Source organism: Homo sapiens, chromosome 1, assembly GCF_000001405.40.
Source record: "Homo sapiens chromosome 1, GRCh38.p14 Primary Assembly".
Taxonomy (NCBI): domain Eukaryota; kingdom Metazoa; phylum Chordata; class Mammalia; order Primates; family Hominidae; genus Homo; species Homo sapiens.
The window spans coordinates 15303683-15326353 of NC_000001.11; the positions used below are offsets into that span (position 1 = coordinate 15303683).

The 22671-nt window shown below is 47.4% G+C and overlaps 1 protein-coding gene and 1 long non-coding RNA gene across 44 annotated transcripts in view, besides 2 other annotated features; one reads left to right on the forward strand and one right to left on the reverse strand.

Moving 5' to 3' along the window:
• FHAD1 (forkhead associated phosphopeptide binding domain 1) overlaps nt 1-22671 on the forward strand; it is a 166490-nt gene that overhangs the window by 67162 nt on the left and 76657 nt on the right. For 37 of the 43 annotated variants that reach the window (XM_047443734.1, XM_017000198.3, XM_017000199.3 and 34 more), the window contains 5 exons: nt 4931-5054; nt 9375-9505; nt 12696-12785; nt 14142-14246; nt 20770-20877. In XM_047443734.1, the coding sequence (XP_047299690.1) occupies nt 4931-5054; nt 9375-9505; nt 12696-12785; nt 14142-14246; nt 20770-20877 (558 nt within the window). Of the gene's footprint in view, nt 1-2054; nt 2138-4930; nt 5055-9374; nt 9506-10765; nt 10917-12695; nt 12786-14141; nt 14247-20769; nt 20878-22671 lie in introns of those variants that run through there. The other 6 variants (XM_017000202.2, XM_047443801.1, XM_047443737.1 and 3 more) reach the window with 4 other exon arrangements.
• Nucleotides 1188-2387: an enhancer, noted in NCBI's record as "CDK7 strongly-dependent group 2 enhancer chr1:15631366-15632565 (GRCh37/hg19 assembly coordinates)". NCBI's record gives its function as "activates an origin of replication core promoter dependent on BRD2, BRD4, P300/CBP, MED14 and CDK7 cofactors, with strong dependence on CDK7, by STARR-seq in HCT116 cells {active_cell/tissue: HCT116}" and the evidence as "EXISTENCE:reporter gene assay evidence [ECO:0000049][PMID:35650434]".
• LOC124903852 (uncharacterized) lies at nt 13162-19400 on the reverse strand. Its single transcript, XR_007065481.1, has 2 exons — nt 19226-19400; nt 13162-13727 (listed from the first exon to the last, which is right to left on the reverse strand). It is a non-coding gene; the product is annotated as an uncharacterized LOC124903852 (long non-coding RNA).
• Nucleotides 20937-21701: an enhancer, noted in NCBI's record as "H3K4me1 hESC enhancer chr1:15651115-15651879 (GRCh37/hg19 assembly coordinates)". NCBI's record gives its function as "activates a minimal SCP1, AML or CMV promoter by ChIP-STARR-seq in naive H9 embryonic stem cells {active_cell/tissue: H9 hESC(naive)}" and the evidence as "EXISTENCE:reporter gene assay evidence [ECO:0000049][PMID:30033119]".

Here is a 22671-nt window from a genome sequence, read left to right on the forward strand (position 1 = left end):
TACTAAAAATACAAAAGTTAGCCAAGCGTGATGGTGCGTGCCTGTAATCCCAGCTACTTGGGAGGCTGAGGCAGGAGAATCACTTGAACTTGGGAGGTAGAGGTTGTAATGAGCAGAGATCATGCCACCACACTTTAGCCTGGGCAACAGAGTGAGACTCTGTCTCAAAAAAAAAAAAAAAGAAAGAAAGAAAGAATTACTCTGACTTATTAATACTCCTCCCCCCACTTTGATCTTGGCTCATAATTGAAAGATGATACTTTATAACAAAGCATCTCTGAGCTAAAGGATGCAGTTGGTCTGAATCCAAATCAAGTTTCATCTGCTCACATTTTAGTCTCTTAAATATTCTATTGCCAACAGAACATTCAAGCAGACGTACAAGCCACATGGCAGGTTGATTTATTGTTCTGATTACTTTATTCTCCTGGGTCTCCTGAAAGTGTGTGCATAACGATTTGCTCTCAAAGCCCTTCGATCTGATACAATACCCCAAGACAATGCGTACCGCCATGCGGCCTGCACTGCCTGTGCTAATTAGAAGCTGAATTAGTATCTTAAAGCAATCAGTCTTCCTAGCACTATTAACTTTCTTATGACCCAGTGCCCATTTTATTACACAGTGTAATAGGCACTAACACCTGGGGATTTATGCCAATTATAGACAATATGGATATTTATTTTGGTCATGAAATTGATGAAGATGTTTGAAGACTACTTGGAGTTTTCCCACAGTCTGATATCCTAAAGCTCTGGTACTTAGATTGAAACATTTCCTATCTGTCAGACAGCACTGGAGTCTGGGGGATGTATTTTCCCATCCCTTCTGGAAGTTTCTCTCTGTGTTGTGCCTCTGGTATACAAACAAAAGCATTAAGCTGAGAAGAGCTGTAACTTTTTTAAAAAAAAATTCCAAGTGCCTTTTTATGGGAGAGTTGCATGTCCCCACAGAAAACAGGAAGAGGTGAAATAATTTTTTTCACTCCAAGTTTCCGAAGTGGAGACCTGCGCAAGTATGGCCTTGGAGAGGGTTGGGACATTGCAGCCCATGTCCCTCCATCTTCTAGTGAGCACCCCTTCTCCAGTGTCTCAGATGCCCCAGGGAAGATGTGACTGGTGCACGAAATGGGCCGTAGAAATTGTGAAACCTTGATCCTTCTGTTAATTCTACCACCGAGTCATAGCCACAAGGTTTTCAGGGACAGACACTAAAAACAGACTGTGAGCGCCACCTGGTGGCCAGGTGCAGGGCACACCGTATCTGCATTGTCGGGGTCCCCCCCGACTCCCACCCTGTCATATCTTATGATATGCCTGCAACACGATGAGATGATTAACAGGGATTCTTGCACTCCTCTTAATAACAATCACACTGGTGTTTAAGTGAGCCTAGGCAAGGCTTACAAATGCACACAAAAATACTATCAGTCTACCTTCCTGGAGACAGGCAAGAGAAGCAGAAGCTAAAACGCACCGTAGAATAATCAGAGCTAGTGTCTATGTGGGGAGCCAGGCATGGTCTATGTACTCTTACATGTACTAACTTATGAAAATGCTTTCAACAACCCTGAAATTACGACTGTCACCACACTTACAGAATAAAAAAATGGGACAGAATTGGTGTCCTCCCTACCTTCACACAGAGACGGATTTTGCAGATGGCAGTCTGGCTCCTGAGTCCCTACCATGCTCCACGGCCTCAGGCTGTTAATGCTGGTTCCTAGAGCCACGTGGAAAGAACTGGAAGCAGGCAACTAAAGCCTGGATTTGGATCGTAACTCTACCACCGACTGATCCGTGCAATCCCAAGCAAGCAACCTCACCCCTCTGAGTCTTGATTTCCTCACTTGCAAAATGGGAGCTGATGTGGTTTGACTGCATCCCCACCAAATCTCAACTTGAATTGTATCCCAGAAATCCCACATGTTGTGGGAGGGACCCAGCAGGAGGTAATTGAATCATGGGGGCCAGTATTTCCTGTGCTGTTCTCGTTATAGTGAATAAGTCTCATGAGATCTGATGGTTTTATCAGGGGTTTCCGCTTTTGCTTCTTCCGCATTTTCTCTTGCCGCCGCCATGTAAGAAGTGCTTTTCGCCTCCCACCATGATTCTGAGGCCTCCCCGGCCATGTGGAACTGTAAGTCCAATTAAATCTCTTTTTCTTCCCAGTATCGGGTATGGCTTTATCAGCAGTGTGAAAACAGACTAATACAGTAAATTGGTACCAATAGAGTGGGGCATTGCTGAAAAGATACCTGAAAATGTGGAAGCAACTTTGGAACTGAGTAACAGGCAGAAGTTGGAACAGTTTGGAGGGCTCAGAAGAAGAGAGGAAAATGTGGGAAAGTTTGGAACTTTCTAGAGACTTGCTGAATGGCTTTGACAAAAAGCCTGATAGCGATATGGATAATAAGGCCCAGGCTGAGGTGGTCTCCGATGGAGATGAGGAACTTGTTGGGAACTGGAGCAAAGGTGACTCTTGTTATGTTTTAGCAAAGAGAATGGTGGCATTTTGCCCCTGCCCTAAAGATTTGTGGAACTTTGAACTTGAGAGAGATAATTTAGTGTATCCAGCAGAAGAAATTTCTAAGCAGCAAAGCATTCAAAAGGTGACTTGGGTGCTGTTAAAAGCATTCCATTTTAAAAGGGAAACAGCATAAATTCAGAAAATTTGCAGCCTGATGATGGAGTAGAAAAGAAAAACCCATTTTCTGGGGGAGAAATTCAAGCCAGCTGCAGAAATTTGCATAAGTACCAAGGAGACTAATGTTAATCCCCAAGGCCATGGGGAAAATGTCTCCAGGACATGTCAGAGACCTTCACAGCAGCCCCTCCCATCACAGGCCCAGAGGCCCAGGAGGAAAAAGTGGTTTTGTGGGCCAGGCCCGGGGTCCCCATGCTGTGTGCAGCCTAGGGACTTGGTGCCCTATATCCCACCCACTCCAACCATGGCTAAAAGGGGCCAACATAGAGCTTGGGCTGTGGCTTCAGAGGGTGGAAGCCCCAAGCTTTTGCAGCTTCCACATGGTGTTGAGCCTGCAGGTGCACAGAAGTCAAGAATTGAGGTTTGGGAACCTCTGCTTAGATTTCAGAAGATGTGTGGAAATGCCTGGATGCCCATGCAGAAGTTTGCTGTGGGGTCGGGGCCCTCATGGAGAACCTTTGCTAGGGCAGTGTGGAAGGGAAATGTGGGGTCAGAGCCCCCACACAGAGTCCCTACTGGGGCATTGCCTAGTGGAGCTGTGAGAAGAGGGCCCCCGTCCTCCAGACCCCAGAATGGTAGATCCACCAATGGCTTGAATCGTACTCCTGGAAAAGCCGCAGACACTCAACGCCAGCCCATGAAAGCAGCTGGGAGAGAGGTTGTACCCTGCAAAGCCACAGGGATGGAGCTGCCCAAGACCATGGGAACCTACCTCTTGCATCAGCGTAATCTGGATGTGAGACCTGGAGTCAAAAGATCATTTTGGAGCTTTAAAGTTTGACTGCCCTGCTGGATTTCAGACTTTCATGGGCCCTGTAACCCCTTTGTTTTGGCCAATTTCTCCCATTTGGAATGGCTGTATTTACCCAATACCTGTACCCCCATTGTACCTAGGAAGTAACTAGCTTGCTTTTGATTTTACAGGCTCATAGGCGGGAAGGACTTGCCTTGTCTCAGATGAGACTTTGACTTTTGGGTTAATGCTGAAATGAGTTAAGACTTTGGGGGACTATTGGGAAGGCATGGTTGGTTTTGAAATGTGAGGACATGAGATTTGGAGGGGCCAGGGGCAGAATGATATGGTTTGGCTGTGTCTCCACCAAATCTCAACTTGAATTGTATCTCCCAGAGTTCCCACACATTGTGAGAGGGACACAGGGAGAGGTAATTGAATCATGGGGGCTGGTCTTTCTCATGCTGTTCTAGTTACAGGGAATAAGTCTCACAAGATCTGATGGGTTTATCAGGGGTTTCCACTTTTGCTTTTTCGTCATTTTCTCTTGCCGCTGCCATGATTCTGAGGCCTCCCCAGCCAGTGAAACTGTAATTCCAATTAAACCTCTTTCTCTTTTTTTTTTTTTGGAGACGGAGTCTCACTCTGTCACCCAGGTTGTAGTGCAGTGGCACGATCTCGGCTCACTGCAAGCTCTGCCTCCCGGGTTCACACCATTCTCCTGCCTCAGCCTCCCGAGTAGCTGGGACTACAGGTGCCCGCCACCACACCCAGCTAATTTTTTGTATTTTTAGTAGAGACAGGGTTTCACCGTGTTAGCCAAGATGGTCTTGATCTCCTGACCTCATGATCCACCCGCCTCAGCCTCCCAAAGTGCTGGGATTACAGGCGTGAGCCACTGCGCCCGGCCTAAACCTCTTTTTCTTCCCAGTCTCGGGTATGTCTTTATCACAGCGTGAAAACAGACTAATACGGGAGCATTCCCAGGAGCCTTCTGTGGAGAGGCCATGAGGCTCTGTTGAAGGAGTAGTGTCTGTGAGTGGGCTTTGTAGGTTCTAGAGTGTTCTGTGAGATATAACCTATTGTTATCATTTGAGGGAATTAATTTTATAACATGCTTCCCTCTCTTGAACTTTGCTCTGTATCCAGTCAGTACTGGGCGACCTGGAACCAACAGGTGATCTGTTTATGGCTGAGAGTCCAAAGGTCATCAGAAGGCACATTAAGAAACCAGGTGTCCCCAGTGGCAGCCAGGCCTGGGCCCCTTTATGGGCACAAAGATAAGGTTCATGTTTTGATGACATAGGAAGTGGTGGTCCTTGAAGGAACAGGCCCTCCCCTGTCCCTTCCACTGGTTAAAACTAAAAAGCTTGGTTTCCCCAACACCCCAGCCAAAACTCAATCTGAATCTTTCTGTCAAGCTTGTGAGAAGTACCTGTGTGTCTCCCAGACGTGGGCCAGCCCCCCTCTGACTGTGCCACCTCCTCCCACAGATCAGTGCCCTACAGAAAGGCTACAGCAAGGTGCTGTGCCAGACCCTGTCAGAGCGGAACTCAGAAATCACATCCCTGAAGAATGAGGGCGAGAACTTAAAGAGAGACAACGCTATCACATCAGGTGAGCCCTTGGAGTCGGGCCTGGGAGCTGCCACTCCCGCACCCGTTGTTCTTGGCCACAGCAGACATCACCAATCAACCACATACTTTTTGTTACTGAACTTGGCTGCAGCCTCAGAGTTCTTCCCAGCAGCCCTTTAGGCAGTTCCTGTCCATGAATCTGAGTTCACCCTCAGAGGTTTATGTGCCATCCAGTTCCTAGCATAGGGCCTGGTTTGGAGTGAGCCCTTGATAAATATTTGAGCAAATGTTATCTGTTAGCTAAAAGGCCTGCTGAGCATGGACCTCACCAGGGAACACACAGGACAAGCTGCAGCTCAGGCAGTCCCATGAGCCAGTTTGCTGTGAATGCAAACTAGAATGTGGCTAAAATGGGGTTGCCAGTTTAAGGCACCCAGCCTCTTACCCATCTCACACTGGTGCTCTTGGGCCGGAGCGAAAGCATTTTGCTAATTGAGAGGTAGCTGGATACTCAAGAACTTGGGTGGGCAAGGGGGCAGCCAACTCATGGCCCACCCTTGCCAGGCACAGCTGTTTCTTAGCCTGGATTCATTCATTCATTCATTCATTCAGCACATTTATGGAGCAGCTGCTAGATGCCAGGCACTGTTCTAGGCACTGGGGAGAGAGAGCCCTGAGCAGTCAAGATCCCTCTGCCCCTCTGCTCATGGGGCTCACACTTGGGAGAGGATGACAGACAATAAGAAGTAAAAAGATAAATGAACAAGCCCATACCAGAGAGAGATCAGTGCTCCAGAGGAAATAAAGCTGGACACCGTGGTGGGGAAGCACTCAGGGGGTGAAGTGAAGGAGAATAGCTTAGTGCAAGCTTGTCCAGCCCACGACCTGCGGGCCACATATGGCCCAGGACAGCTTTGAATGAGGCTCGACACAAATTCCTCAACTTTCCTAAAACATTATGAGATTTTTTTTTTTTAGCGATTTTTTTTTTTAGCTCATCAGTTATTATTAGCGTGAGTGTATTTTATGCGTGGCCCAAGACCCTTCTTCTTCTTCCAGTGTGGCTCAGGGAAGCCAAAAGATTGGACATCCCTGGCTTAGTGCCTGGGCAGGGATATCTCTGAGGAGGTGGGAGGGGCTGTCGGGAGGCCCCTGGGAACGGTATGCTGGGCAGAGAGCACAGGTGCAAAGGCCCCGAGGCTGGACCAAGCCACGGTGTTGGATCAACTGCCGGCGAGTGTGGCTGGAGTCAGGGAACAAGGGGCTATGGGACCTGGTGGGGTCAGGGGGGAGGCAGGGCCACATTACATGGGAGGGGTTCAGGTTTTCTTCTAAGTGTGATGGGACACGTTAGGGTTTTTAAGGCAGAGAATGGCATGTCTCGAGACCTGCAGATGATAGGGCCATGGACAGAGAAAGGGGGAAGAGAGAAAAGCAGGTGGTGGAGAGGGAATGAGTCCAGATTGGGCATATTGCTCCTAAAGTCCCCCCTGCACAGCAGGAAACATGCCCGTGGCTGTGAAAGCAGAGCGTAGCATTGAGTCAGACACAATCGCTGTCTCCGCAGGACCCAGGCCGCCTGGCCGTGGCTTTCCCTCTGCCTCACTCTGCAGTCCCCCTCCCCACTCCAGGCTTCTACCTCTGTTCTTCCCTAACATGGAATGTTCTTGGATACTTGTGAGCCCTATGGGCAGGGCTGCTCTGGGCACCAGGCATCCCAGGGGGATCTCGCTGGGCCCTGCCCTCCTCCCCAGCGTCTGTCCATCACACCCCATCCACGCTACAAGCCTGTCTCAGACACCACTCCTCTAATCAAGGAGTCAGACAGACCTGGGCTCAGGTATGGCCTGGGATGGGCTACACTCTCACGGCCCCAAGTGTGGTCCCTGGACCAGCAGCATCAGCATCACCTGGATCCTTGTGAGAAACTGGGAATTTCAGGCCCCACTCCTGACCTTCCGATCAGAATCTTCATTTTCACAAGCCTCCCGGCTGCTGCTTGTGCACACTTAAGCTCGAGAAGCACTGGGCCGGGTTACGCTGCAGTGACAAACAGTCCCCCAAGTCTCAGTGGCTCACAATAGACAGGTTCAGCTCCTGCTTCCACCCTGAGCCCATCATGGGTCAGTAGGGGCTTTGGTCATTGTGGCCACACAGTGACCCAGGCTCACAGAAGCCATCACAACACATCACAAACCCCATCTTCCACAGGAAGAGAGGCAGATGGAGGAACAAGGTGCGGATTTCCTCACCTGCCTGAAACAACTCAAACAAACAAACAAAAACCAAACAAACAGAAAAAAATGTCTGAAATAATGGTTTCCATCTATTGGCCCCAAGAAGCATGTGACGATGATCTGGGAGGGAGTGGAAACAAACAAGATGAAATCTACGATTGCCCCCGGCTGGCTTGCGCTGGAGAGAGTTTCCAGACCACAGCAGGGAGGGGAAGCCAGACAGAGCCCAGTGGTCAGCCCGACTTGAGGAGATGGAGGTGGAGAAGCCAGCACAGCTTGAGTTTGCTGGGTGGCGTGCCAGGCGGGAGGGGGCTGCACGGAGAGCACCCCGGAGATCTCAGAGGGTCCGCCTCAAGTCTTCAGCAGAGTCAGGTGTGATGAGCACGTGCATGTGGGCAGGGAAGGAACCACCCAGGAGGAGCAGAGGGAACCATCTCGAAGCCCACGTAGGCCTGAGAGTAGCTCACTTTCCCACCATCCAGAATGGGGCAACCTTGCACTACACAGGGCACCTGGTAGAGACTCAAGCCAAATTCATTCTAGAGAAAAGGTCACTCTGGTCCCGCCTCACAAAGCATGCAGGCAAGCCCCAGAGAGAGCAGTCTGTTTCTAAGGAACTTAACTGTGTCCCCGGACGAAGCTCATTTTTACAATGAAATTCTGAATCATGTTGTTCTTTATTACACATCCTTGATTGTGCAATAAAGATTGATTCTTGATTGATACCCACCAATAAAACTAGGATGAATGTTTTTCTAAGAAAAGGACCGTATGAGATAACCCAATACCACTGCATTATGCACCCTTCTTCTCACTTTTTCTCAATGTGATAATACAATAATATATTGACTATCTGCTGTCACATAAGTTATCCCAAAAAAGCAACAAATATGTTTATCTTACCCGGTTTCTGTGGTTCAGGAACTTGGGAGTGACTTAGTCTGGCTCAGGGTCTCTCACGAGGTTGCAGGAGCTACTGCTGTCATGTCATCTAAAGCCCGACTAGGGCTCGAGGATCCCCTTCTGGAATGACTCGCTCACATGGCTGTTGGCTGGAGGCCTCAGTTCCTCACCATGTGTGTCCTTCCCTAGGGCTGCTTGAGTGTCCTCACAACATGGCGGTTGGCTTTCCCCAGACTGAGTGATCCAAGGAGAGCAAAGAAGAAACCACAACATCTTTGATGATTCACCCTGGGAAGTCACATTCACCACTTCCACAGTGCCATATGAGTTACACACGTCAGCCCTATTCAGGTGGGAGGGGGCTACACGAGGCCAGGTATTCTAACAGGCAGGGATCATGGGGGCCATTTTGCAAGCTGGCTACCACATATACTTGTGGGTGGCAGGGAATAAACACTATGTGTTAGCCACTCTACTATGTTCTTTATACAACTCTGTAGATACAATGAGAGGTTAAATAACTTCTTCAGACCACTAAGCTAGGCTGGGCATTGTGGCTCACATCTGTAATCCCAGCACTTTGGGAGACAGAGGCTGGTGGATTGCTTCAGCCTGGGAGTTTGAGACCCGCCTGGGCAACATGGGCAAAACTCCATGTCTACAAAAAATACAAAAATTAGCCAGGCATAGTGGCACGTACCTGTAGTCCTAGCTACTTGGGAGGCCAAGGCAGGAGGATCGCCTGAGTCCAGGAGGTCGAGGCTGTAGTGAACCATGATCGTGCCACTGTACTCCAGCCTGGGTGACAGAGTAAGACCCTGTCTCAAGAAAAAAGACGACTGAGCTAGTAAGTGCTAGAGACGGTTTCCAAACTCAGATGAGTGTGAATCAACACGTCCCTTGCTGCCACAGGCCCATGTCGTGGCCCCTCCTGGTCCCTCTCTCTGCTGAGCCTTTGTTCCCAGGCAGGGCCGATGCCCACAGCACCCCGACAGATGTTTCCTGTCTCCAGCAACACGCACTGACTGACCTCTCCTTCTCACTGGGACCTTGAACAAATGATGTGCAGTGGATATTGGTCTCAACCCCATTCAAGCTCCTGGGATCCTTGGAGACACCTCCCTTCTCAGTGCCAGGCTCGTCACAAACTGGTTGACAGCGGCAGCGATGACAGTCATCCTCACTGCCTCTTTGACCTCTGCGAGTCTTCTTTTTTACAGGGATGGTGTCATCTTTGCAAAAAGACATATTAGCAAAGGATGAGCAAGTTCAACAACTAAAGGAAGAGGTCAGTCACCTAAAAAGTCAGAACAAGGACAAGGACCACCAGCTGGAAGCCCTTGGCTCTAGAGTGAGTAAGGATGACTGCGTCACCTTGTAGCCATCCGGTGAAAAGCAGCTAAAGTGAAGTCACGTGATATGCTTGTTTCATTCACCCTGGGCCCTTAGTTTAAATTTCATTCCTTCCTCTCACACCATTGTGCTGGGGGCGGGGTGGTGGGGGGGTGGGCGTTGGGGGCAAAACATGAAATGCCTACCTAGAAAAACTAAAACAGCTGGCCACATTCTTTGCACCTTTTCAAAGATCGGCGTGCACGTGCCCCAGAATAAGCAAGATGTAGCTTCAACTCCAGGAAACATTTTCTAATGCCCATTATAAATGAGTTTGGTTAATTCCAGCAGTAAATGCACCTCTCAGCTTGGCTATTTCCATGGCAAGGCTTAATATTAAAGCAGAATAGAATCACTGCATGCAAAAGAGGACACGGTGGGCTTCCCCTCATCCCAGTAACCACTGGTTTGCACAGTCACCTTCGAAGCAGAATGTTTGCAGGCCCAAGTGCAGTTAGACAGACTTTCATTTCTTCCCTTAGACTTTAGTGTGGGTAAGAATATTCTGTGTGGAGTGAACCTGGTAGGCAAGTCAAGAGCTGTTTAAAAGTAATTTTGAGGCCAGGCACGGTGGCTAATGCCTGTAATCCCAGCACTTTTGGGAGGCCGAGGCTGGTGGATCACACGAGATCAGGAGTTTGAGGCCAGCCTGGCCAACATGGTGAAAATCTGTCTCTGCTAAAAATAACAAAAATTAGCCAGGCGCCTGTAATCCCAGCTACTCAGGAGGCTGAGGCAGGAGAATAGCTTGAACCTGGGAGGCAGAAATTGCAGTGAGCTGAGATCGCGCCATTGCACTCCAGCCTGGGCAACAAGAGTGAAACTCCGTCTCAAATAATAATAATAATAATAATAATAATAATAATAATAATAACTATTTGCAAAATGTACCTCAATGCTCTGACTTTAGAATCCTGAACCTATAGGATTTCTCAGTATTTGTGAGATGTGTCTGTTTCGGTGAGTCAAGGTAAAACCTAACAGCTTTCATCTCAGGTGTGCCTGAAGAGTTCGCCAAGTCTGCATGGGCACCCAGGCAGGGTGGATCTGGGGGTCCAAGGATGAAGCAGCAGTAGTGACCTCTGGCTCTGACCGCAGTGCCCCAACTGGAGCTGGGGAAAGGCAGGACAGGAGCCCCGGGGGCACACAGACCAGGGTCCGAGCCCAGAGTGGGCTTTTGTTATAACTGATGTGGCCTCCCCTTTGTCATCAGCGAAATGGGAACAACAAAATCAGTTTTGAGAAGTGAGAGGCCGGTTTGCATTGTGCGCTTCCGCCTCTGCGGCTGGTTAGCCCGCCTCGCCCAGCCCTCTGCATCCGTCCCCCGAGCAGGGTCACCGCCTGGATTACATGTGTTGTCGCCCTTTCAGGTGTGTGGGTATGTGGGTGTGGGTGTGAGGATGTATGTGGGTGTGTGGGGGTATGGATGTGTGGTGTGGGGGTGAATGGGTGTGTGGGGATGTGGATGTGTGTAAGTGTGTATGGGTGTGTGTGGATATGGGTAGGTGTGTGTGTGAGTGTGGTGTGTGGGGGTGTATGGGTGTGTGGGGGTATGGATGTGTGGTGTGGGGGTGAATGGGTGTGTGGGGGTGTGGATGTGTGTAGGTGAGTGGGTGAGGGGGCGTGTGGATGTGTGGGTGTGGTGTGGTATGGGGGTGCGTGTGGGGTGTGTGGGGTGTGTGGATGTGTGTCGGGGCTGTAGAGCTGATGTTAGGTGGGAGAAATACGGAGAAACAGCAGCTCCGGAGCTCTTCTGCCCACGAAGTGCATTTGGGTTACTTGTGTCCCCATTTCCCTTCCCCGTTGACCTTGGAACAGGTCTGCCTTCTTCTCCAGGCCGCACCTGGCGTTCATCAGCACGTGGGCTCCTCGTGACCAAGGGTATTGCTCATGTGAACATCCGAATGACTGTCTTTATTTTTCAAATTACATGTGCTGTGTTAATTTTAGAATAAAAAGTAGATAAAACTGGAGAGCAAAATTAAAGAGAGAAGAGAAATGCCACCGCCAAGAAATCTATGTCAGTACTTGAGTGCATATTCCTTCTGTTTTGTTTCTAAAATTACCTGGAAAAAATATATCTGTAACAGATATATAACAACAAATTTACACTATATACATTTTTTAAACTTTAAACAATTACTGTTTCCTCACATGGATAAGAGCTTTTCTCATGGGTCTTTAAAGCTCCATGACATTCTCTTGTCTGTGCACAATGGAATCAAACAGCCCCGGGTTATCGGACATGGGTGTTTCCTTTTTTTTTTTTTTTTTTGAGATGGAGTCTCACTCTGTCACTCAGGCTGGAGTGCAGTGGCGCGATCTCAGCTCACTGCAAGCTCTGCCTCCCGGGTTCACGCCATTCTCCTGCCTCAGCCTCCCAAGTAGCTGGGACTACAGGCGCCCGCCACCACACCTGGCTAATTTTTTTGTATTTTTAGTAGAGACAGGGTTTCATCGTGTTAGCCAGGGTGGTCTCAATCTCCTGACCTCATGATCTGCCCACCTCGGCCTCCCAAAGTGCTGGGATTACAGGTGCAAGCCACCGCGCCCAGCCGGGTATTTCCTTTTTGTTCACTATGGCTAACAATACTCTCAAAAACATCCCTGAACCTACAGACTTGCTGATTTGCCCAGCCATTGTCCTTATACATTCTTAAAGCAGAATTTCTGGGTCAAAAAGGAGGCCCATTATATATGTTCTTAATGCCCGTTGCCAAATTGCCCTCCAGAACGGCTGTTCCATTTTCACCGCCGCTCCCAGGGCAGTGGTGTCTTGGAGGAGTGAATTGCATGAAGCACTGAGAGCCGTCCAGGCTCGCTAGTGGCCCTCCAAGGACATCCGTGTTTATTCCTCAGCACAGACTCTCCAAAGCTGGATTTTCCTTGTGGTTTAGATTGCTGGCTTTTGAAGATGAGAGTAGTGGCTTTATTCCTCTGATTTCCTGAGTGGAGAAGCAGGAACAGCTTTGGGATCCTGTGTGCCCGTCAGACACCATGGGATGCCTTTTGGGATCTCAGTGCGTGACTGGATGGAAACAGCAGGAAATGCTCTCAGGGGCTCACATGGGGCCTTGGAGCCCCTCCTTCCCCCGACAACCCTACCTGGCCAACGTTGGCCTCTTTCTGTGTTGCCCTTTTCTCCACAGTGCTCGGTGCTAAAGGAAGAGTTAAAACAGGAAGATGCTCACAGGGAGCTCAGGGAAGCCCAGGAGAAAGAGTTAAAACTCTGCAAAACCGTGAGTTGAGCTTCCTCCTTTGTAGGTACCACCAGAAAAAACAGAGTTTGACCTTGAGGTTCTTGGTGGGATCCTGGGCCATCACTAAGCATGAAGCTCTGGGGCTCTGTGCTTGCTTGTTTAACATAGTCTCATTGCTCTTTGATCTGCTGCTTCTGCAAGAAAGAGATGGGTGAAGGGGCCCCAGGATTCCCTGGGCAGTTGGCTCTAGCTCCCTCAAGGGTTTCCCCTGGGGCCAGGTTGGGGTTGAGACCGGGGACAGGGACAGGAGGCTGGCCAGCTGGCCACCACATGGTCCCCTGCCCCACCCCTGACCTGTGACTCCCAAACATGTATTCCACTGTCCCAAGTTTTATCCTAGCCACAGGCACCATTGTTGACACTTCCTGAAGTATTTTTATTTAAACACAACTATTTAACACCCACTTGTAAAAACAAAACAAGGCAGTGGCTCACATCTGTAATCCTAGCACTTTGGGAGGCCAAGGTGGGTGGATTGCCTGAGCTCAGAGGTTCTAGACCAGCCTGGGGAACACGGTGAAACCCCGTCTCTACTGAAATACAAAAAAATTAGCTGGGCATGGTGGCGGGTGCCTGTAATCCCAGTTGCTTGCTTGGGAGGCTGAGGCAGGAGAATTGCTCAAACCCGGGAGGCAGAGGTTGCAGCGAGCCGAGATCGTGCCATTGCACTCCAGCCTGGGCAACAGAGCGAGACTCTGTCTCAAAAAAAGAAAAAGTTATTTGCCTTATGTAGAAGGTAACCATAAAAATAAATACAATGAAAATAAGACCATTAAAAGTCAAAGGAGGTGTATTCCTGACGCCCTCCGAATCCACCCTGCACATCACCAGGTGTGCGTTTTCCACTCGGGAAGTTCAGCTTCTCCAACTTGCTCTTCCCCACGCCAGCACCGTTCCTCCAGGCCAGGAACATTTTACTCTCTGCCTCAAACAAAAAAGAAAAAACATTTCATTGTTCCGTTCTTCCAGACCTTGCCTGTTGAGTCTTCCAAACAGTTGGCCCTTTAGATTGAACTCAAAAATATAACCCAAGAGCAGGGTTTCAAGTGAGTTGATGGGTGTCCTGTAGTCCTTAATCCAGGAGCTGTACTGACTTCCAAAAGAAACTAATTTCCTTTATCCAGAACTTTTAATATATCAGTCGAAAAATAAAGTCTATTTTGCTGAGAGATGTAAAACCTTCCTCCAGGAGAAGGAATTAAATAAGCTGATACCAGACAAGGTTTCCACCTTAATGGATGGGATGCCAGGGGATGATGAGGGCTCAGACCTCTCAGCCAAGAAGGCAGCTCCTGCCCCCATCAGGGAGGTTCACTCTTGTTGAAACTTTTTCAGCAAATCCAAGACATGGAGAAAGAAATGAAGAAGCTTAGGGCAGAGCTGAGGAAGAGTTGTACTGAACAAAGCGTGATCTCTAGGACTCTGAGAGAAAAAAGCAAGGTACGTAGTGGACAACAGGCCCAGAGAGTGGTGTGGGCGGTAGCTCCCCACTCATCATCCCTGTTAGTCCTCTAAGTGGACTATGCTGGTATTAACCCTTCTTACAGCTGAGAAAACTGAGGCTCACACAGGGACAGGGACCAGGTTCACTGCATAAAGTAGTTGTGGCAGGACTTGAACCCAGGTTGGTCTGACTCCAAGGCCCCTGTGAGTAACCCCACTACTCCTCACTGCCTTCTAAAACTGTTTCTTGCTTTTTGGTAATGAGACCCACCTCTGGCCTCCCAATCCCAGTTTTGAGTTTCGTGTTGCTTAATTATTTTAATGTCCCTTCCCATCATGGGAAAAAAAATTGTATTGCATACTCCAGACCTGCGCTATCCATAACAGTAGCCACTAACCGCGCATGGCTATTTACATTTAAATTAAAGCCGGTAGCTCACGCCTGTAATCCCAGCATTTTGGGAGGCTGAGGCAGATGGATCACCTGAGGTCAGGAGTTCGAGACCAGCCTGGCCAATGTGGTGAAACCCCGTCTCTACTAAAAATACAAAAATTAGCCAGATGTGGTGGCGGAGGCCTGTAATTCCAGCCACTCAGGAGGCTGAGGCAGGAGAATCACTTGAACCTGGGAGGTGGAGGTTGCAGCAAGCTGAGATCGTGCCACCGCACTCCAGCCTGGGCGACAGAGCAAGACTCCGTCTCAAAAAAAAAAAAATTTAATTAAAAATAAATAAAACAAAACGTTGCTCCTCAGTTGCCAGCCACGTTCCAAGTGCATAGTAGCCACGTGTAGCTGGTGGCTGCTGCACTGGACAGCACAGATATGGAAATTTCCATCAGCACAGCAAGTCCTATTGTTTTAAATTAATGGTGACCTCTTTTAGCAACATAACCAATTGAAGAGTTGTATAAAAGATGCTTATGGATCACACATTTATTTTAATTTTTTTAACTGAAAATATCTTCGAGAGTCCTGAGCAGTGTGGACAGAATCTCTTTCTTTCCATTTGAATCATCTAGTTTATTTGATTAGAAGATGGTTGTCATTGAGAAAACTAAGAATTTTTTTTTTTTAATAAATAAAGACAGAGCTTCACTATGTTGCCCAGGCTGGTCTTGAACTGCTGGCCTCAAGCAGTCCTCCTGCCTCAGCCTCCCAAAGTGCTGGGATTACAGGTGTGAGACACCACGCCCAACCACAACTGAGAATATTTTAAGAACAAATCTAAAAGGCAGAGGAATTCTATGTGAAGGGAGGTTCTCAGGGATGATCTGAGAAATAAAAGCAAATAATCTATTTTTCTCCAATTTTATTTAATATGAATGTGAGTATAGTCAGCAGAAGTCAAATCATTAAAACCTCGTGAGCTGAAATGTATACTACACAAGGATCACATCTTATGGATAGTATTGAAGCCTGCAAAAGTTGGCCAGACATAAGTAGACTTGGCAGAAATAATTAACACAAAATTAAAATCAACAGTTAAGACTATACAAAGTAAAATTTATTTATCAATTAAAACTTAAGAGAAAAATCAAATATTCTTGTCCAGGTGCAGTAGCTCACGCCTGTAATCCCAGCACTTTGGAGGCCGAGACAGGAGGATTGCTTTAGACCAGGAGTTCAGGACCAGCCTGGCCAACACAGTGAGGCCCTGTCTACAAAAAATTAAAATAATCACTTAAAAAAATCAAATATTCTTGAAAAAGTTTAGACTTGTAAAATATAATATGGGGAAAATGGACATGGTAGAAATGAAAACTACAAAATAAAACACAGACAGACAGACCTGTGATTGGTAAATATTTGATAGGGTCCAGAAAAACTTATGGATGAATCAAATCATAATTGTATAATTTGCCTACAAAAGAACTGATCCAGATCAAAATAATTTCAGGAGACTAAAGTGAAAATGGAAACATTTGGAAATCTGTTAAACAACTGGCTTAATGAACTTTGCTCTAGAAAATACCCTCTCAATGAAAATGAACTTGCTATGGTATATTTTTCTTTTAAATAGTTGTAGTCATGAACATGGAGTCAAAATGCTCTCTGGGCTATCAATTTTTCTCTAAACAAGGCTTTGGCTGCATTCCACAAGTCTTAGTACGTAGTATTTTCGTTATTATTCAGATCAAAATATTTTCCAAATCCCTTTGTGATTTCTTCTTTCACCCATGGGTTACTATGCAGCTTATTTCCTAATTTCTAAATATATGAGGGTTTTCTGCTTACCTTTTTTGTTACTGATTTTTAGCTTAATTACACTGTGGTCAGAGAACATTTTCTGTGTAACTTCAATCTTTTGATATTAATTGAGACTTGTTTTATGGCCTGCATGTGGCCGACTGCAGTTCCACGTGCACACTTGAGAAGAATACGCATCCTGCAGTCATTGGGTTTAGTATTCTGTATATGGACATTAAATGAAGCTTGCCGATAATGCTCAAAACTTAAATGCTCTTGTTGATTTTTTTTGTCTGTGTGTTTTGTCAGCCACTGAGAGAGGCATATTGTTTGAAGATCCTAACATGATTGTGGATTTGTCTGTTTCTTTTTTTAATATTGTCAATCTTTGCTTTATATATTTTGAAGCTGTGTTAGTAGATGCATATGTATTTACCATTTCATTACTTCCTATCGAATCAAATCTTTGGCTATCACAAGATGTTCCTCTTCATTGCTAGAGATGTTTTTCCTTTAAAGTCTTTGTCATTAAGGTAGCTCCATCAGATACACTAGCTTTCTTTTGATTTGAGTTTTCATAGACTATCTTTTTCATACTTTTTATGTCAATCTTTATTTTACAATGTGTATCTCATGTGAACAGCACATAGGTTTTATACAGTTTGACCATCTTTGTCTTTCAGTCCAAGTATATTTAATATAATTGCTGGCATATTGGGATTTAAATTTATCTACTTGCTCAGGGCCAGGTGTACTACCTATGTTCCTTTTTCTCCCCATTCTTTCCTTCTTTTGAGTTGATGGGTTTGTTTTGTTGTTGTTTGTTTGTTTTTTGAGACAGAGTCTTGCTCTATTGCCAGGCTGGAGTGCAGTGGTGCGATCTCAGCTCACTGCAACCTCCACCTCCTGGGTTCAAGCAATTGTCCTGCCTCAGCCTCCTGAGTAGCTGGGACTACAGGTGTACACCACCATGCCCAGCTAAACTTGTATTTTTAGTAGAGACAGTGTTTCACCATGTTGGCCAGGATGGTCTCCATCTCTTAACCTTGTGATCTGCCCACCTTGGCCTCCCAAAGTGCTGGGATTATAGGCGTGAGCCACAATGCCTGGGCGAGTTGACAGTTTTTTATCATTCCCTTTGCCCCCGTACTAGCTTGGAAATGTTCTCTCTTTTACTTTTCTTTTAGTAATCATAAGACAATAGCACGCATTCGTGACTTATCAAAATCTAATATTTAGTGAGTTTTTAACTCTTACTATTTTAGTGGTTATTCTAAATTTTACAATATGCATTTTCAACTTACCAAAATTCAATATTCATTAATAATTATGTCCTTCTTCTTAACACAATGACTTAGAGATTGACACTTTAACTTCGCTTACCCCATCCAGACTTATATGCCATTGTTATCATTTTCTAAACTTCTCTCTATATTTGAAACTCCAAAAGACATTATTAATATTTTTCTAGAGTCAACATCCATATCTACACATTACTATTATGTGTTTTCTACATTTCTGATCATCCATCTAGATCATTTTTCTTCAGCGTGAAGAACATCCTTTAGTGTTTTCCTTCAGCATGGCTCTGCTGGTGTCATATTCTCTCAGGAGTGTGTGTACATTTGTGTGTGCAAGCACGTGTGTGCATATGTGTGATTGTGCATGTTTGCATGCACATGTGTGCATGCATGTGTGTGCATGTGTGTGTATGCATGTGTATGTGTCTGAAAATTTCTATATTTATCCTTCATTCATGAAACATATTTTGACTGGGTATTGAATTCTGCACTGGCAATTGTTTTCTTTCAGCACATTACAGATGACAGTAAGTCTATCATTCCATTGTGTTTTGGCTTCATTTGTTTCTATTTAGAAGTAACCTATAACCTAACTATTGCACCATTGTATAATCTTTTTGTATTCTGGATTTTTTAAATGTTTCTTTTCCTTTGATTTACAGCAGTTTTATTAGGATGTATCTAGGTGTGAATTCATTTTTATTTATCTTATTGGGGTTCGTATGGGCTTCTTGAATCTTTGGCTTGCTGTTTTTCATTAGTTTTGGAGTGTGGGCTGTGTACTACCTAGGCAGTGGGGAGCTACTGAGGCTCTTGAACAGGGAACTAATATGTTTAAATTTGTGATTAATAATAATGGTGAAAATGATAGCCACAATTTTGCATGGACTCAGCATTTTGCCAAACATTTCATCTCTTTTCATCCTCACAACTCTGACCTAGAAATTATTATGCCCATTTTATTATTTTTTTAATATATTGGAGCTTTTCAAGATGCCTGTTTACAGTTGAGGGAGTCAAAGCATAGAGTCAAGTCACTACCCAAAGGCACACAGTCAGTAAGTGGCAAAGCCAAGATTGGGGGAAGCCAGGCCTGTCTGACTCCAGTTACTGTGGCATAGCCACTAGCCACGTGTGGCCATTTAGGTGAAATTAAATATAATGTAAAATTCAGTCCCTCAGTCACATGAGCCACACTTCAAGTGCTCAATAGCCAGATGTGGCCAGTGTCCACCCTATTTGACAGTATGGAGTTAGAGCACTTCATCATTGCAGAAAGTTCTACCAGACAGTGCTGCCCCACCACTTGGTAACCCTCTCACAGGACCATGAAGGATGTTCTGGAAGGAAATAAATTAGAGGCAAGGAGGCGTCACGGCCAAAGGTGCTCAGGGCCTAGCCTCAGACCATGTGTATTAGTCCGTTTTCACACCGCTGTTAAAGACACACCCGAAACTGGGAAGAAAAAGAGGTTTAATTGGACTTACAGTTCCACATGGCTAGGGAGGCCTCAGAATCATGGCGGGAGGCGAAAGGCACTTCTTACATGGCGGTGGCAAGGGAAAAATAAGGAAGAAACAAAAGTGGAAACCCCTGATAAACCCGTCAATTTCGTGAGACTTATTCACCATCAGGAGAACAGCACGGGAAAGTCCGGCCCCCATGATTCAGTTACCTCCCCCTGGGTCCCGCCCACAACACTTAGGAATTCTGGGAGATACAATTGAAGTTGAGATTTGGGTGGACACACAGCCAAACCCTATCACCATGCACAGAGGAGGAGCTCAATAAATAAATCTCTGACAGCTGGTGCCAAAGGCCTGCTGTGTGGCAGTGATATGAAGAACAGGACTGCCAGAGCTGGGGCTGGGGGCGGGGAGGCCAGTCATTGAGAGGAGGAGCCAGAACAGAGCCCAGGACAGCCTCTGCTTTCGCAGCATTTGAAAAACGTCCGCCGAAACAGAAGCTGGGGTATGTTTACACCTGAGAGGATGTAAGTGAGGAAACTGAGGCCCAGCGAGCTTAGCCGGCCTTCCCGGGAAACAGCTCACTGGGGACTGGCTGCACCCTGCCACTCAGAAGAAAGCTTTACAGGTTGCTCTGGGTGTTTTACATGAAATCTGTGTGACCCCTCTCTAGCCCCCTAATAAACCACTTGTGAGGCTGTTTCAGAACAAAATCCTCTCATCTAGGAGAGTTTGTCTCATTTCCTGCAAGTGCCTGAGCCCTGGCTCAGCAGATGCCCAAAATGTTCATGGTTCAGACATGAACTGAGCAGCTGCAGGGTCCTGTAATGGCCAGCAGAGGGCAGCACCGAACACGCCCAAGCTCACCTCGAGTTGCCCATTACTCGAGCAAGCGGGGGAAAATGGGCAAGTTTCCCCACTTTAAACGCCTTCTTTTGCAGGCTACAATTCTTTACTAGCCATTGCTTAGCTCCCAGAGCAGTTTCCCTTGGTAAGTGTGCTAGAAGTGGTAGCAATAAACAGTTACAATAATAAACCCAGCAGTTAACATTTACCAAGTGCCCACGATGGGCGGCAGTTCCTTATGGTGTTAGGATGACTCTGTATAGTGGCTACTGTCATCCACCTGTTCTAGGTCACAACATCTAACACACTTATAGAGCCCTTACGAAGCGCTGTCACTATTCCAAACTTTTTAAAATCCCCACAATAACTCTGCGAAGAGGGAACTAGTATCACCCCATTTGACAGATAAGGACACTGAATCACAGAGCAGTGAAATGACTTTGCTGAGGTCATACAGCTTGCTAGGGACCGGGCTGGGATTAGAGCCTGGGGTAGGACAAATATTGAGCCCAGGGTGCAGAGCCCAGCCCTTTCCCCCAACGGACAGTGCCCCCCTAGCCTGGCTCCACCCCGCGCACGCCTGTGACCCCTGCCACATGGGCTGCAGCTGTGCCTACCCCTCTGGGACCCCCCACGGCCATTAGACATCCTAGAGGAATCTCCCCAGAGTGCATTATGATCACATTAGCAGCAAGTACTCGCTTTCATCGTCATTTCAGGTTGAAGAGAAGCTTCAGGAGGATTCCAGAAGGAAATTGCTTCAGCTGCAAGAAATGGGGAACAGAGAGAGCGTCATTAAAATCAATTTGGAGAGGGCAGTAGGTCAGGTAGGCATGTTCCAGAGCCCCCCTCATTGGCCCACGCTCTCCAATGATTGCACCCAAGCAGCCAGTGGGGGTGAGAGAGGAGGACGCCCAAGGTAGAAAGACAGACGTGCGTTAATTCTCCCATTTATCTCATGAGCAGAGGCTGTCTGCAGCTCCCCACCCCCATGGACATCGCTTAACAGGTTTCTGCTGCTGGGAGGCCTCCCACTCGAATAGTTTACGATGACCCGAGACCCGGACCAGGCAGCCAATCCCGGCTCGATGCCTGCCCCCAGTTAACCGAGCTCCTTGCCCCCAGTGGTGTTTCTAGCATTTTCTCCTTAATGTTTTTAGTCCTGACATTTACCACAATCTTTCTTCCCCTTGGGCCCCAGCAGACATTACAGACAGTGTCTATAAGGAAATGCCACTTTTCTTAATAAGGTAAAACCCTGGAGTGTCCAAAGTGCGTGCTGGATGGAGAAGCTCCCGGCTGTGGGTGAGCCACTCCGACCTGGTCTGGAGGTGCTGTTTCTTTGATGCTGTGGCCTGAAATCGCCGGTGGCCCTTCCTGGCAAATGTGACACAGTCATGGGGGCCGGAATGTGCAGACGAAAGTTTACCAAAAGCTAAGGGAAAGCAAACAGGAAACCAAGATGGGAGGGCATATGACCCTGAGGAATGTGGTCCCCCAGGGGCAGCCCACCCTAGATTCCTCCACAGGGGTCCCTCTCCTGGAAACCATGACTCCAGGGGATCCACAGAATGGTTTGCACACACACGTGTGTGTGCGTGTGTGTGTGTGTATTACTGGGAAGGAGGGCCCCCCATGTCTCCCACTGGGTTCTCAGGAGGGTCTGTGAACTACCAAGAAAGGTTAAAAGCCAGGATCTCTCAAACCACCCAGCTCAGCTCCCAAAGCCCTTCCATTTTCTACCATCCAAGCCTTACCAGGCAGTGTGACCAGGCCTTTGTCCCTGTACCCTAAAATTCAAATATTCACCACTGTAACCGCCAGCACCATTTCTCCTGTGGGGGCGCCAGCCCCTTATCAAGGGCAGAGAACCTGCCTGTCTGGGCCTCTTCCTGTGCACATTGGCTACCCCCAATCTTCCCCCTAACACATACCTGATTTGAGGGTCTGACCCGTGCTCCTTGCCCAAGGGCCAAGGTTCTTGTTATAGCTCTGGGCAGAGGTCATCCAGGAGGAGCCCTGGAGGTCCTGAGACTGCTCCAGGTCTAGACTTGAGAGAAAGGACAAGCCCTCTCTCTGCCTCCCAGTGCCTTCCCTCTCCTGTATCTCCAAGGCCCTGCTCCCTGTCCAATAGTCTGCCCTTCCCCAGCCAAGTGACCCCAGGCCCGAGGCCATGTCTAAGATGACCTCTCCCTCCCAATGGCCCTGGGCAGCCATTCCTGTGGGGAGCCCCTGATGGCAATGGGGGACCATCATTCATAGGGCTTCCTCTACACAGTCAATTCTTTGGGTGAGCTGGGACCCTCCACTTGGCCATGAAACCAGAGGATGGCTTTGAGAACCTCATGTCACCTGGTCTTCTCCTGGCAGGGTCACTGCAGAGATGTCCGTAAGACGTTTCCCATTAGAACTCCCCTGTGCAGTAAATACCTGTGTCTTGGGCCCCAGGTTGAGGCAGTAGCCCTTTTGGTCCCTTCAAGGCTCTGCTTTGGAGTATTTAATAACCACGTTTTGCCAGTGAACTGGAGACTCACGCCAGGGGCTGCCATGTTGGTAAATTCTCAGAGAAAGTCGGGCTCCTTTTTACCTCTAACTACTAATGGAATCAGGACACCTTGGAC